The 13,921-nt window shown below is 43.6% G+C and overlaps 1 protein-coding gene and 1 long non-coding RNA gene across 3 annotated transcripts, besides 2 other annotated features; one reads left to right on the top strand and one right to left on the bottom strand.

The window, feature by feature from the left end:
* Positions 1-237: 237 nt before the first annotated feature.
* Positions 238-8,069, bottom strand: UQCRFS1 (ubiquinol-cytochrome c reductase, Rieske iron-sulfur polypeptide 1). The gene is made up of 2 exons (NM_006003.3): positions 7,823-8,069; positions 238-3,076 (listed from the first exon to the last, which is right to left on the bottom strand). The coding sequence occupies exons 1-2, from the start codon at positions 8,034-8,036 to the stop codon at positions 2,466-2,468; spliced, it is 825 nt and encodes a 274-aa protein (NP_005994.2). The 5' UTR covers positions 8,037-8,069; the 3' UTR covers positions 238-2,465.
* Positions 7,663-7,972: a silencer, noted in NCBI's record as "silent region_10462". NCBI's record gives its function as "represses an Ori minimal core promoter by ATAC-STARR-seq in GM12878 lymphoblastoid cells {active_cell/tissue: GM12878}" and the evidence as "EXISTENCE:reporter gene assay evidence [ECO:0000049][PMID:35858748]".
* Positions 8,013-8,252: an enhancer, noted in NCBI's record as "active region_14405". NCBI's record gives its function as "activates an Ori minimal core promoter by ATAC-STARR-seq in GM12878 lymphoblastoid cells {active_cell/tissue: GM12878}" and the evidence as "EXISTENCE:reporter gene assay evidence [ECO:0000049][PMID:35858748]".
* UQCRFS1-DT (UQCRFS1 divergent transcript) lies at positions 8,171-10,733 on the top strand. Of its 2 annotated transcripts, none has more exons than NR_184021.1 (2): positions 8,171-8,352; positions 10,199-10,733. It is a non-coding gene; the product is annotated as a UQCRFS1 divergent transcript (long non-coding RNA). The 2 variants fall into 2 exon arrangements; NR_184022.1 differs by having other exon boundaries at positions 8,171-8,326.
* The last annotated feature ends 3,188 nt before the right edge of the window (positions 10,734-13,921 follow it).

Raw genomic sequence — 13,921 nt, forward strand, 5'->3', positions numbered from 1 at the left:
GAGATGACATCTTTTCCTTTCAGACAGTTTGAGTTTAAGGTGTCAACAGGACATCCAAACATATATGCCCAGTAAGCACATGAATATGAAACTCAGGGAAGTGGTTGTGGGGAGTCACCAGCAAATAGGTGGTGATAAAGTGTGTTAGAACAGTGGGCTAAGGATAACAGTCCATAAAATATAAACATTATTTTGGGTTAATATACAAAATGCAATGAAATTCAAACGACATGAAAATACAGAAAATGAAATTTAGTACTGTGAGAATGAAGAATTACTTCTGATATTTAAATAGTATGTTCCTACAGTTTAGAAAAATGAGGGTACTAAAGCACATTTTGATCCAGTCAGGACAAATGCCCTCTATACACTCAGATTGAGTCAAAGTTTTTACAAAGGTATGCTCAGAAAGACCAAAGAAAATTTGATGTTATCTTTAACAAATAATGCAACATTTTCAAAAAGGCCATTTTTATAACACTTTTTAAAGCATAATGAAAACACTTGGCTCTCAAGATTGTCCCAAGAATTATCCCCAATAAAATGCAGTAGGTTAATGATCTGATGTCAGGGTGCTAGCTGGTCAGGTTTATTCTGTAAGTAATTTTCTCCTACTATCTAGGATTTTGTTTTCACAGAATGGTAAAAATGTTAACACAGGTCTGCCGTATCCATTCAGCAAAACAGCATGAAGTGACTTGACTTGTCCTGTCACTTGTGGAACAAAGCCTTCTTTAAAAACTAAATGGTCTACTACAATTTAACAGCATCCCACCATCAAACTCTAAATATGAAAGATGAAGTAAGCAGCCACCAAATATAGCAATTCCGGCACTAAGTGAGTACCTAGAGACCTGCAAACTTCCTACTTCTGTCCTCCACTGCCATGTAGAATTTCAAGGTATCACTTCAGGGTGGGAGGTGATATAGGTTATCAGTATTTCTCTATAGGGAGGGGGTGCTGTTGACATTTTTGGCAGCACAGGTTTTTTAGTGTGTGGACCTGTGTTCCCCTCACAACTCAATGTTTCACATTCCAACTCTGCCACCAACCCTTCCTCCAACCCCCAATCCGAAGAGTGCCTCCACTATCTAGAGACACAGAATATAAAATACTTCTGTGTCCCACCAATTATCACACATGCTAATTTCATTTCTAGAATGGTAAAAATGAAGCAAAGACTAGTATCTACTCATAAGCATAGAAAGTTTGACATTTTCTTTTTTCTGTCAACACCTAGCTATTAACATCAAAGGCTGGAATCCTGGATGGTCAGTTCCCTTTGGGCAGACCCAACCTAACCATTTTTGCCATTTTAAAAAAGTGTACATGAGATTATCAGGTAGACTCAGTAAAGCACGACTGGTCCACCTCTAAACAGCAAAGACAAACACATCAAAAAGTGACTGTGATTCTCAAAGGACAAAGCCCACTCCCAACTCCCAGGGGAAAATGGACCTTAGTCTTGTTTCACCTGTGTAATTGGAGGCAGAATAGGATGTGAATTCCGATGTGCTCTGCGTCTGGTTCCACACCATCTTACAGTGAAAAGTGCTGAGTGACTGTAAACCCAACAGGAAAAAACATTCAAAGTGTCATCACTACAGAAACAAACCCAGCAGGACCACTTCTGCATGCAGGCAGTATTAGGTCTCAGATGCTCCCTTTCTGCCTCCTGATAGAGTGGATGCAGGAACTTTGGGGACATGATGAACCACACACAAAATGAACGAAATGGCAGAGCACTCTCATTTTGGAAAGTTTCTCTCAGGTAATATCCCATCACTGCCTATTAAGACTAAAGGATTAAGTACTAATTTACACTCATAAGGGACTAATAAAATTTCCTGGCCTGTCACTTAAGGAGAAAAACCAGCAGACCAGACGTGAAGATAAACCCTCAGAGCTACTAATGCCTCATTCAGGACTCTTTCCCACAGATTAGTGTTGAGATTATCACACGGCTTACACAGTAGGGAGGAAATGCATAGCCAGGACTCTTACCAAGTCCGGTAAATAAGGAATACCTAGATACTACTGTTTCTGTCAATGCCATAGACACTTAGATGACCCGTTAATTTTACTTCATCCCAACAATGACCGTGCAGAATCTGCGTCCCTGACGCAAAGCAGGAAGCAAATATTTGGGCAAGAAAATAAAGTCAGTTACAGATTTCACAAGTATCTTGTACACCAGTCTGTAATTTTTAATTAGAATTAGCTAAAAGACATTGTACCTTTCGCGTGTATGACTGAGCATAACAGTGCTTAACAGTGTCTTTATTAAGTGAATGCCTGAAAGTATTCAACATTAAATTCAATTTATTTCACATTAATGTTTGCAAATACATCATCAATTCTTACATATTTCAAATCAACTTCAAGTACAGAAGGCTTCCTCTCAAATAAGTCTCCTGAGGTGACATAAAGACTGAAAGAAGCCTATGACTTGAGTCCAAGTCTCTTAACCAACAATCACCATATCGTCACTGGTGAACTCATACGTGGGGACTTCAAGGTTGAGAGGAGCAGGACCCAATCTGATCCTGCCAGATGCATCATAGTGTGACCCATGGCAAGGGCAGTAATAACCACCAAAATCTCCTGCATTTGCAATGGGTACACAGCCAAGATGAGTGCAAACACCTATCAGGATAACCCATTCAGGTTTCTTTACTCGATCTAGATCATGCTGTGGGTCCCTCAACTGTGATAATTCAACTGCAGCTTCCTGCTCAATTTCCTTCTGGGTTCTATGACGCACAAACAGGGGTTTGCCTCTCCATTTGAAAGCCATGTTCTTGCCTTCTGGAATATCGGATAACTTGATTTCGATTTTCGCCAGGGCCAACACATCAGCAGAAGCACTCATGCTGGAAACGAACTGGGTGACGGCATTCTTGGCAGCATATGCGACACCCACAGTAGTTACTCCAGTTACCAAATAGGAGAAACCTTTCCTAGCCTCGCTGCTTTCTCTTGAAGACTTCGTACTATCTAAAACTTCAAGGCGGCGGTATTCAGAGAAGTCAGGCACCTTGATGTCTGTGTGGGAATAACAAACAGAAGCAGGGACTGCAAGACAAACAGAAGGTTAAAAAACACAATTAGATGAGTATCCCGAAGGGAGTATATATCAGGAAATAGCCCTTTATGGATTCACAGGTAAAAAATCAAATTCTAAAAATGTGAAATATGGCACTCACTGGGTCTCAGAAATAGTCAAATTGGCGGTGCTAGCATATAAAATCTTAAAAATGAAATGAAGTGAACCACCACCTATCATACTGGTATGAAATCACAAGATACTATTTGTAAATTGAGCTCCCCCTAGTTGGTTGAACATTGCTGATTCAGGATTCACAACACCTCAGTGCATCATGCTAAAAACGTTAAACAGCAAAATAAACAGTAATAACTCAAAGTTTCCGAAAATTCAACTGCCAAGACTTACTATATAAATCATGCTAAATACCTCCCATACTCTCTGGATTAGAAGGACACCCTAAAACTCATCTAGTCCACACAGTAAGTTGACGTGTGATCACCTTATTAAGGCAAATGTCTGCCCCTTATAGTCCAATCTATGTTCTCGGAAAAAACTGTTAATTCATAAAATAATAATGATATAATAAACATTCTGTGAACTGTATAACTCTGCTGCAGAAAAATTAGCGTTTCTATTTTATACTCTAGTGTATAAATTAGTATTACTTTAACTTAAAACCACTAATAGGCAGAGAAGGACATCCTTATCAGAGCTCTCAAAATAAAATGAAAACTGCAAAAGAACTAATTATTTCAATTTAGCAAGGGAAAAAAAGGGCAAAATTTTCATATCTCCCCCTCTTCAGTAAAGGGCAATAGTTACTGTAAAAGTAGGGGTATTATCTTCCCTTTTCACTGCTGTAGTTCTCTCAACTGGGGCACTTCTAGTCTAGGCCATAAAAGAGCTCAAATGAATGTTAAACAAATAATTACTATGTAGTACTTTGGGAGCAAGGAGTTTCTTTGGTAGTTTAAAAAACAAAAACAAGACACAGTTACATCCCTCTCTCCAATACTATTTTTAAATATCTGACCAAAAAAAAATTTTACCTAGTACCACTTTTAGGTATGTTTCAGGAAGCAAACCTCTTTGCAAATTGTATATTCATCTTAAGAAATTTGCCACAAAGTTTCCTTTTTAAAAAAGGGGACACTAAAAATTCCTCTTTTAGAAAATGTGTATCCAAAATAAAGATCTTTTATGATGCATTTTTATTGTAATAAACTGCAATTCTACCTTGCTCTACTAGGATATCATCCTAATATACTGTACTTCCTTGAGTAGTCAAACATTACAATATGGAATACCTGAACTGCTTTTCACATGATTCTCAAGGTCAATAACTTTATGGAAGCCAGAAGTATTCAAACAATAATGAAACCTACCAAAATCACTCTATGTGCTTTTCTGACTAAATCATTTCCTGGAGAAGACCAGGACACAGATAATGGCAACTTGAGACTCACATCCCAGAATCTGTGGAGTCAAAGTGACATTACATCCTATACTACTACTCTAACAAATAAATGCTAACCTGCCAGTATATACTGGCATTTGGAATTAAGCATAAATTACTTGCTCCTAGCACTACCTGGGATTACAGAAAAGATGAGCTTCCTCCCTAAAAGATAAAGGAATAAAAAGTTCATACTTCTACATTAAAAACAGTATCCACAACCCTTAACAGTATACAAGGAAATGTACAAGAAAACTCAATAAAATGGCTTTGCCCTTCTCATTCAGAGATTTGGTGGCAAAAGTCTCCTCCCACTCTATCTAGCTGGTTACACTTTAGTAGGCTACACCACCAAGAATCCTTTCGGAAATTAAACTGCCCTGTTGCAAAAATCATTCTCCAAATATTTACATGAGCTGCATTAGGTCTGACTTTCAGTAAGATGCTAGATTTAATTCTAACCTAAAGCAAAATCAAATACTTAAAGGAGAAAATTTAAGGAATTTTAACAAAACAAGTTTTATTTTAAGGTTGAGCTCCAATGCGCCTTGGAAATCTGCATGAAAATAGTACAACCTTCCTCTCCAATTCAAGAATCTTCTCCAGATCCAACCCCTCCACTCCCATAAGCCATCCTGCCATGAACCATCTAGACAGACTATAATGTGAACTTAAATTACAGGCTGAAATGATTACAGAAAAGGTTTTTGCCTTATGGTTCTACATTATTTGCCTGTTTCTAAAAATAGTTTCTCTAAGTCAGGTAAACCTCCAATTTTTTTTTTATTATACTTTAAGTTTTAGGGTACATGTGCACAATGTGCAGGTTAGTTACATATGTATACATGTGCCATGCTGGTGTGCTGCACCCATTGACTCATCATTTAGCATTAGGTATATCTCCCAATGCTATCCCTCCCCCTCCCCCCACCCCACAACAGTCCCCAGAGTGTGATGTTCCCCTTCCTGTGTCCATGTGTTCTCATTGTTCAATTCCCACCTATGAGTGAGAACATGCAGTGTTTGTTTTTTGTCCTTGCGACAGTTTACTTAGAATGATGATTTCCAATTTCATCCATGTCCCTACAAAGGACATGAACTCATCATTTTTTATGGCTGCATAGTATTCCACGGTGTATATGTGCCACATTTTCTTAATCCGGTCTATCATTGTTGGACATTTGGATTGGTTCCAAGTCTTTGCTATTGTGAATAGTGCCCCAATAAACATACATGTAAATGTGTCTTTATAGCAGCATGATTTATAGTCTTTTGGGTATATACCCAGTAATGGGATGGCTGGGTCAAATGGTATTTCTAGTTCTAGATCCCTGAGGAATCTCCACACTGACTTCCACAATGGTTGAACTAGTTTACAGTCCCACCAACAGTGTAAAAGTGTTCCTATTTCTCCACATCCTCTCCAGCACCTGTTGTTTCCTGACTTTTTAATGACTGCCATTCTAACTGGTGTGAGATGGTATCTCATTGTGGTTTACAGGCAACCTAAAAATTGGGAGAAAATTTTTGCAACCTACTCATCTGACAAAGGGCTAATATCCAGAATCTACAATGAACTCAAACAAATTTACAAGAAAAAAACAAACAACCCCATCAAAAAGTGGGCGAAGGACATGAACAGACACTTCTCAAAAGAAGACATTTATGCAGCCAAAAAACACATGAAAAAATGCTCAGCATCACTGGCCATCAGAGAAATGTAAGCCTCCAATTTTTTGAAGAAACTTTAGCAACACGACGAATTCCAAAGATGCTTTTCTTTTGCTATTGAAATGTTCTCCTTCCTTCCTTCTCACCTCCAGGTCCCAAGGATGGGCTAGGGTACTCTACACCTGCCATGGACAGTTTCTTCAAAACCCACTGATGCTCCTTAACAAATATTCATTCACAAATACTTTGCACTAACTGTATACAAAATCCGACGTTGTGAAAGATAGAAAAATAAAGAAGATATTACCTTCTCTATGCCCTTAAGCCCAAGGGTGGAGGAGTTACCAATAAACACAATACAGAGTGTAAAGTGTATGTGCTACAGAGACAGACAAATCAGCAAATAAAAACTTTATTCACCTGATCCTTAACTGAGATTGAAAAGATGGGTAAGGAAAACATATGGACATGTAGCAACTTAGTGGAAGGACCATGAAGAAAGTGCAGAGCCCAGGGTGAATGAAGACAGAGTAAAAAGAAAAGTGGCGGGCAATTTGGTTAGCGTGTAGGGGAAGAGTCACAAACAGCTATCAGTGGAGCCAGGCTGGTAACAGAATGAAACACGCAGACCTGGTAAAGACTGTGACAAACTGGAGAAGACCACTTGCTCCAACTGCGGGGGCGGCCACTACACAGCACACTATGGAATTTTCCCAAGTAGAAACTAGATCCCAGTATTACCGGCTTCCAGCATTTTAAGAGATGCCATTAGTCTTCCCAGTTTTTTTGAAAACTACACAGCCTGCAGACACACTGCCCACAGGCTGCCATTTCTCTATCTCCGATACAGGGCCAAGTAAAGATGGAAGGCGAGGCAAAGAAGATAAACGGGGATCTAAGGACAGAGGGTGTGGAATAGCCCCTGCGAAGAGCTCAGTGGCTACGACAATTCGTCTTGTCAAATCCCTGCTACCACATGTCCACACCACGGATCCTGGTGCGAGTCATTCTACCTCGTCTGTTTTCTCATCTGTAAAATGTAAATGTCGTCAATCTCTGCCCGTCCTTGACGACTGATTATGTTGTGACACTACACTGTAACTGACCTTGTGTATGTTTTTTTTGTTTTTTTTTTGGTGGGGGGGTGATGAAGGGGAAGGACATGAAGGGATCGGTAGTGGTGAGAAGACCAACTTCCCAAATATTAGTAAGTTTCCATTTCTTAAGCATGTAAGTGCCCAAACTGTGCTAACGGCTTTACGTAGAATTCCTCCACCTAAGCCTCACGACACCCCTACAAAATTGATAAAGATATGAATCCATTTCACAGGAAGTACGTTTAGAAACTCGCCCAAGGTCAAACGACCTGCAAGCAACAAAACCCCTCAGAGGTGGCTGGAACAGCGGGACTACAGAGCTCGTGAACTCGGCCGAGGAGGAACCAGGCGAAGCCGGCGGACGCGAGTCCAGGCCGGCCACCAGAAAGACGCCCCGAGCCCGGGGGCCAGGCCCAGAGTTGCGGAGGCCGCCCAGCCCGACCTGATTCAGGCTCCGCTCGCGCGCCCGCGGCCGCTCCCTGCTGGGGGCCGGAGGAGCGGGCACCGAGAGACCCCCAGCCCTGCTCGCGGCCCTCGCCCCGGCTCACCATTGAGGCCCACGGAGGCGACCAAAGGCCGGCGCACGGCCTGGCCGCTCAGCGACTCCCGGCTGAGGAAGGGCCGCTTCAGGTCCAACACAGGCTGCTCCGGGGTGGCGGGCACCGTGGCCTGCACCAAGGGCCGCAGCGCGCCCGCCACCCCGCGGGACGTGGCCGACAGGACGGGCGCGAACGGGCCTGAGCGGGATGCTACCGACAACATGGCGACAGCCGCTCCAACCGCCAAGCCGGTCACAGGGACGACCTTCCAACCACGGCGCAGGCGCGAGGAGGCGCGGGACGCGTGACGACAGCGCGCCGCCGGAAAGGAAATTCTGCAGTCCTGCAGGGCGGGGCAAACTTGGAGAGGCGCTGCGTCGGGGGACGGGGCTACAAGCCGTCGCTGGGGGCGGGGCTTGCGGCCCACCTGTAGGTCCCGGTGCCACCTCGTCAGTGTCCCGAGAGATCCCCAGAAGAACGAGAGGGCTGAACAGGGGACCCCACTGACGTCCGGTGGGCCGACTTTACGATCCTTTAGGGTAAAAATTTCATCTAGGAAGACCTAGAGATAACAATAAACGATTATAGTTTAACTTAGGATGGTAATATATCTCAACTACGACGAAGTCCAGCACATAGTAATCGCTATGTGTTTACTATGATGATTTTTATTATCTTCATCTAACAACAACAACAACAAAAAGGCCAGAGGCATCTGTGCAAAGCTCGATAATGCTAATGGATTATGTTTATTAAGTATTCACTGTGTATTTGGTTTTGCGTTTTATTATACCTACGTTCTTTCATTTGTTATCAAGGTCTCTATGAAGTCAGAGCTATTACTATCAGCATTTTACCCATGAAGAAACCGAGGTTTAGAGAGATTCTTTTCCAGGAACTGGATAGCCAGCAAGATGTGAAGCAGGGTAATCTGTCTCCTGAGTCTATGCTCTTCAGTGCCACCACTGTTTCCCAAAGTAGGATTTTAGAATTTTAGAGGATGCACAGAGCTCGCTCATTCATGTTCCATCACATAGTGAGAAAGTTTTGTTTTCTTTTGTTTTGTTTTTCAATCCTGATTGCACCAATGAGAAAGTCTCAGTTTGGTGCTAATACATCTTTAATTAAAAAAAAAAAAAAGTAGAGATGAGGTCTCACTATATTGCCCACTCCAGTCTCGAACTTCTGGCCTCAAGGAGTCCTGTCTCCCCCTCCCAAAGTACTGGGATTATAGGCATGAGCAAATTCACTTGGCCTCAGTTTGATCCTAATATATCTTTAATTCCTCTCTACACTTATCTCCCACTTTTAACAGAAAAGATCTTGAGTTAGAAGCTCTTAGCAGAGAACTGAGTCTAGAGTGATTTCATTATATGGTTCATAGTATTGATTTTCTATCCATACTGGTTTTCTATTCTGTACTATACTGAGATAAAGTTTTTCATTTAGGTCAAAAATAATTTAAATATTAAGTAAATGTTAATATAAGCAGTGCACAGAATTGGCTCTGTGCTGTGCATGGGCTCTGTGATCTGGGCAAGTTCCCTCACCTCTCTGTGCCTCAGTTTCCTCACCTGCCAAATGGGGGCAGTAATGATGCCATGTGTGTTGTAAAGTTACTGGGAGGAGTAAATGAACTAAAACGTGTAAAGCATCTACAAGCAGGCCCAGCACACAGGCAGCACCAAGTGAGGATTTGCTAGTGGTGTTTTTATCTGAGATGCCACCTCCTCTAAGAAGCCTTCCCTTGATCCTTGCTGACTCGTTGTTATTCCTCATGCCAGGTCCAAAGTGTACTGACAGGTTTCCCCTTTGACCTTCCTATGACTCCCCTTAGGGCCTAGGCTTTGACCAGCCTTATAGCCCAAGGGACTATATTGTACTCTCAAGATTGGAGGCTGCCTCCTCAGGGGCCACCCTAGCCAGGCTCATCACACAGCTGGCTCAGTGCTCTCCCTTGGCAACAACCTTAGGATAAAAGACATTTCCAGAGAAGTTGTCACACAGCATGCATGGTTTGAGTGCTTCACAAGAAATAATATCACAATTCCCTCTGAGTTGGTAAGGAAATGAAAAATGAATGAATGAATGAATGATCCTTCACAAAACCTTCACAATGTCCCAGTTGGGTGAACAGAATAGGAATTATCTCCAGACCTCCTGGGTTCAATTTTAGTTTCACCACTCACTAGCTGTGCCCTAGGGCAAGTTATTTAATCTCTGTGTGTGCCTCCGTCTTTCTCTTGTAAAACAGAGATAATAACAGGATCTACCCTAGAGAGTTATTTTAAGGATGAGATGGATTAATACATGTAAAATGCCTAGAACTGTGCCTGGCACACAGTATGTAAATATCTGCAATAATAATAACTTTCTATTTTCTAGATGAAGAAACTAAGACTCAGAGAAGACAAATGACATGCCCAAAGACACATTGATAAGAACGCATCTGGTAGTGGTGTTCGAGTCCAGCGTTGCAGCAGAGAGATGGGTAACTGTATGGCCGAACAGCTGTCTTCTCGTGGAAGAAGGAGGCCAATGTCCAGGAGTGGCAGGCATACTGGAACTTGGACTTCTGTAGGCCAACCTGGGTTCCACTTGGTAGATGGGGGTCTTGCTGTGTTGCCCAGGCTGGTCTCAAACTCCTGGCCTGAAGCAGTCCTCCTCCCTTAGCCTCCAGAGTAGCTGGGACTACAGGTACACACCACTGCAACCCCTCAGTGGTTGTTATTTAACTGAAGGGGGTTTTAGCTTTCATGTATCAGCTCACTCTGGAGCCAGACAGCCTGGCCTTCATGGCAGCTCTGCCCCTTACTACCTGTGTGACATCGGGCAACGTTACTGAGTGTCAGATTTCTTATTTGTAAAACAGGGATAAAAATGACATTGCTGTGCAAATTAAAAGAAAGAATCCATGTGAGATATTTAGCACACTGGCATACAATGAGAGCTTAATAAACATTGTTAGTTTTGTAAACTGAGGGAAAAAAATAGCCACAGGCCTGGGAACATAAATGCTTGGTAAGCTTCTCAGTTCCCTGGAAGTCTGACACGCAATGTGTATGTATGAACAAGGCAGGAGGAAGCATGACACCAAGCCTTCCTTTTAACAAACACTGTTTAAATCAGAGGTCGGAAGTCATGGACTGGAGATTCATTCTCTCCCCACTCATTTCTGCCCAGAGACACCTGGTGATCTGGCATACACAGTGCTATGAACCTCAGAATTATTTGCTAGCATTTACAAATTGTGAGTACTCCCACATACAAACTGTGGTAGATGGAATAATGCCTCCCCACAAAAATGTCCACAGCCTAATCCCTGGAACCTGGGAATATGTTACTTTACACAGCAAAGGAATGTTGCAGCTGTGATTGGAGATTGAGATAGGGAGAGTGTATTAGTCTGTTGTCATGCGGCTATGAAGAAATACCTGAGACTGGGTAATTTACAAAGAAAAGAGGTTTAATTCACTTACAGCTCAGCACGGCTGGTTGGGGGGGCGCCCTCAGGAAATTTACAATCATGGTAGGAGGCACCTCTTCACAGGGTGGCAGGAGAGAAAATAAGAGCAGAGCGAAGGGGGAACCCCTTATAAAACTGTCAGATCTCATGAGAACTCACTGTCATGAGAACAGCATGGGGGAAACCGCCCCCATGATCCATCACCTCCACCTGGTCCCCCCCTTGTTACAATTCAAGGGGATTGTAACAATTCAAGGTGAGATCTGGGTGGGGACACAGAGCCAAACCATATCAGAGAGTCTTCCTGCAGTGTCCGGGTGGGTGCGGCATGTTCATAGGGTCTTAGAAGAGGGAAGCAAGAGGTGAGAGGACAGAAATGCCACATTGCTGGCTTTGAGGGTGGGGCCAGAGGAGGGACCTGCAGGCAGAGATAGAGCTGGAAATGGAAAGGAAACCTTCTCCCTTAGAGTCTCCAGAAGAAGTGCAGCCCTACAGACCTGTGTTAGGCTTCAGACCTCCAGAATTGTAAAATAATAAAATTGCATTATTTTAAGCCACTCGAGGCCCATGTCCTCAACAAAGAGAAAGACGGTGGGGTGCTGTCAGCCAGGGTAGGTACCTGCTTGGTGGTCTGGGTCCTTTCCCACTGTGTCCATTCAGTTACATTACCTGCCCATCTGCTGAGGCCTCGAGTTTGGGACCTCAGGTTTATATAATTCCTTGCACAAGCATGATCGATTGATTCCGGAGAGTAGCAGAACACTGATATGCAGGGGAATCTCCTAGTTCCAAGTGTGAGTTGTAGTCTAGACACTTCCTGTTCCCTACAGTCTTTTTTTTTTTTTTTTTTTTTTTTGAGACAAAGTTTTGCTCTGTTGCCCAGGCTGGAGTGCAGTGGTGTGATCTCGGCTCACTGCAACCTCTGCCTCCTGGGTTCAAGCAATTCTGCCTCAGCCTCCCGAATAGCTGGGATCACAGGCACATGCCACCATGCCCAGCTAATTTTTGTATTTTTAGTAGAGTTAGGGTTTCGCCATGTTGGCCAGGGTGATCTCAAACTCTTGACCTCACATGATCCGCCCGCCACAGCCTCCCAAAGTGCTGGGATTACAGGCGCAAACCACCGCCCCCAGCCCTCTTCCCTACTGCCTTGATGTGTTCATCTGGGCAATGTGTGTTGAGGGGGCATAGGGAGGGGAGCTCTAAGGCAAATGTGCTGGGATTCTGCATTCGTCATCCTCAAAACAAAATTGGTCCCTAGGTAGTTCTGCCTGTGATCCTGCATAATGTGCAAAGCCAGTAAGATGCCTTTGCCTCATCCCCAGGGAACATGCCTCCCAGCCACTTTCATCTCACCTAGTGCCTACACAGAAAGGCAACCGCCTCCCTGCTGAAGGGACCCCACGCCTGTCTCCTGTTTCCACACAATTACCCCGGGAAATGCCTGGCTTCCCATTTCCAGTTGCAGCCATCTTGACAGTTTCAGCCTCTCCCCACAGCCCACGTCCCTCACTTGAGCAGCGAGATGTGAAGACAGACAGCCGCTTGAGAACTGCACAGACTGTCCTTAATCTAAGCCATTTAAAAGGCATTTGTGTTCCATAAAACCCGTTTCTGTAATTCTGTGCCCCTACTTCTTTGAAAGATGATAACCCTAGGGAGGAGATTAGCCAGGGAGGAGAAGTTCAGATGTGCTAATATTTTAATCGCTCATTCTTTCATCACATTAGTCACATTCATTAAGTATGATTAATTTCAGGCTTTGTTGAAAACCCTATCAGTTTCCCTATCAGCCACACATCCATCTCTTGCCAAGCAGGCTGGTGCAGTAGCACCAAAAGTCCCCCAGTGTTTTTTACACCTGGATTGTATTATGTGCCCCCTGAAAATGTGTGGAATTAATTGAGCTCATTTGTTTCAAATACTTTGCAAGAGCCTGGGCTCTTGAGTCAGGCGGCCTAAGTGTGATCCTAAGTCCTCCCATTGCTGGAGTCACCTGGGCAAGTGACTGACGCCCTCTGAGCCCTGGTGTCCTCGTCTGAGGATGGAGATAAGAATACCTAACTCGAAAGTTGGTTGTGAAGATGAAAGAAGGCTTTCAAATTGCTAAGTTAGTTGGTTATGATTGTAATTAAGGGCCCTTGGAGATGGATCATTCATCCATTCATTCATCCATTCAGAAGATTTGTGTACAGTGACTACTGTATGCAACCCTGTGTGTCCACTGCTGATGAGAGAGACAGCAGCAAACACAGCAGTCAAATGCGTGTGGCCCCCAGGACCTTATATTTTAGTGGTGGAAGCTAGACAACCACCAAACATGTAATATACCAGATGGTGGTACGTTCTATGGAGGAAAGAAAGGACGAGGGGCAGGGAGTCCTGGGCTGGTGGGACAGGGTGCTATGGCTCAGAGGGAACTCAGAGATCACCTAATTCAGGCCCTGACCTGGAGGGCTCATGCTTTGCACACTGTGCTAAGAATTTGGACTTTCTTTCTCCAAGAATAAGGACAATGAGAGCCAGCAAGCAGGGAAGTGGAGCAAGGATGGTGCCGTCCGGCTGCTCAGCTGCTGGCTGGAACTCCCGGAGGACTCTGTGAGGATGCAGGTAGAAGGTGTGTAAGCATGTGACTGCATGGA

This window comes from Homo sapiens, chromosome 19, assembly GCF_000001405.40.
Source record: "Homo sapiens chromosome 19, GRCh38.p14 Primary Assembly".
Lineage (NCBI taxonomy): Eukaryota > Metazoa > Chordata > Mammalia > Primates > Hominidae > Homo > Homo sapiens.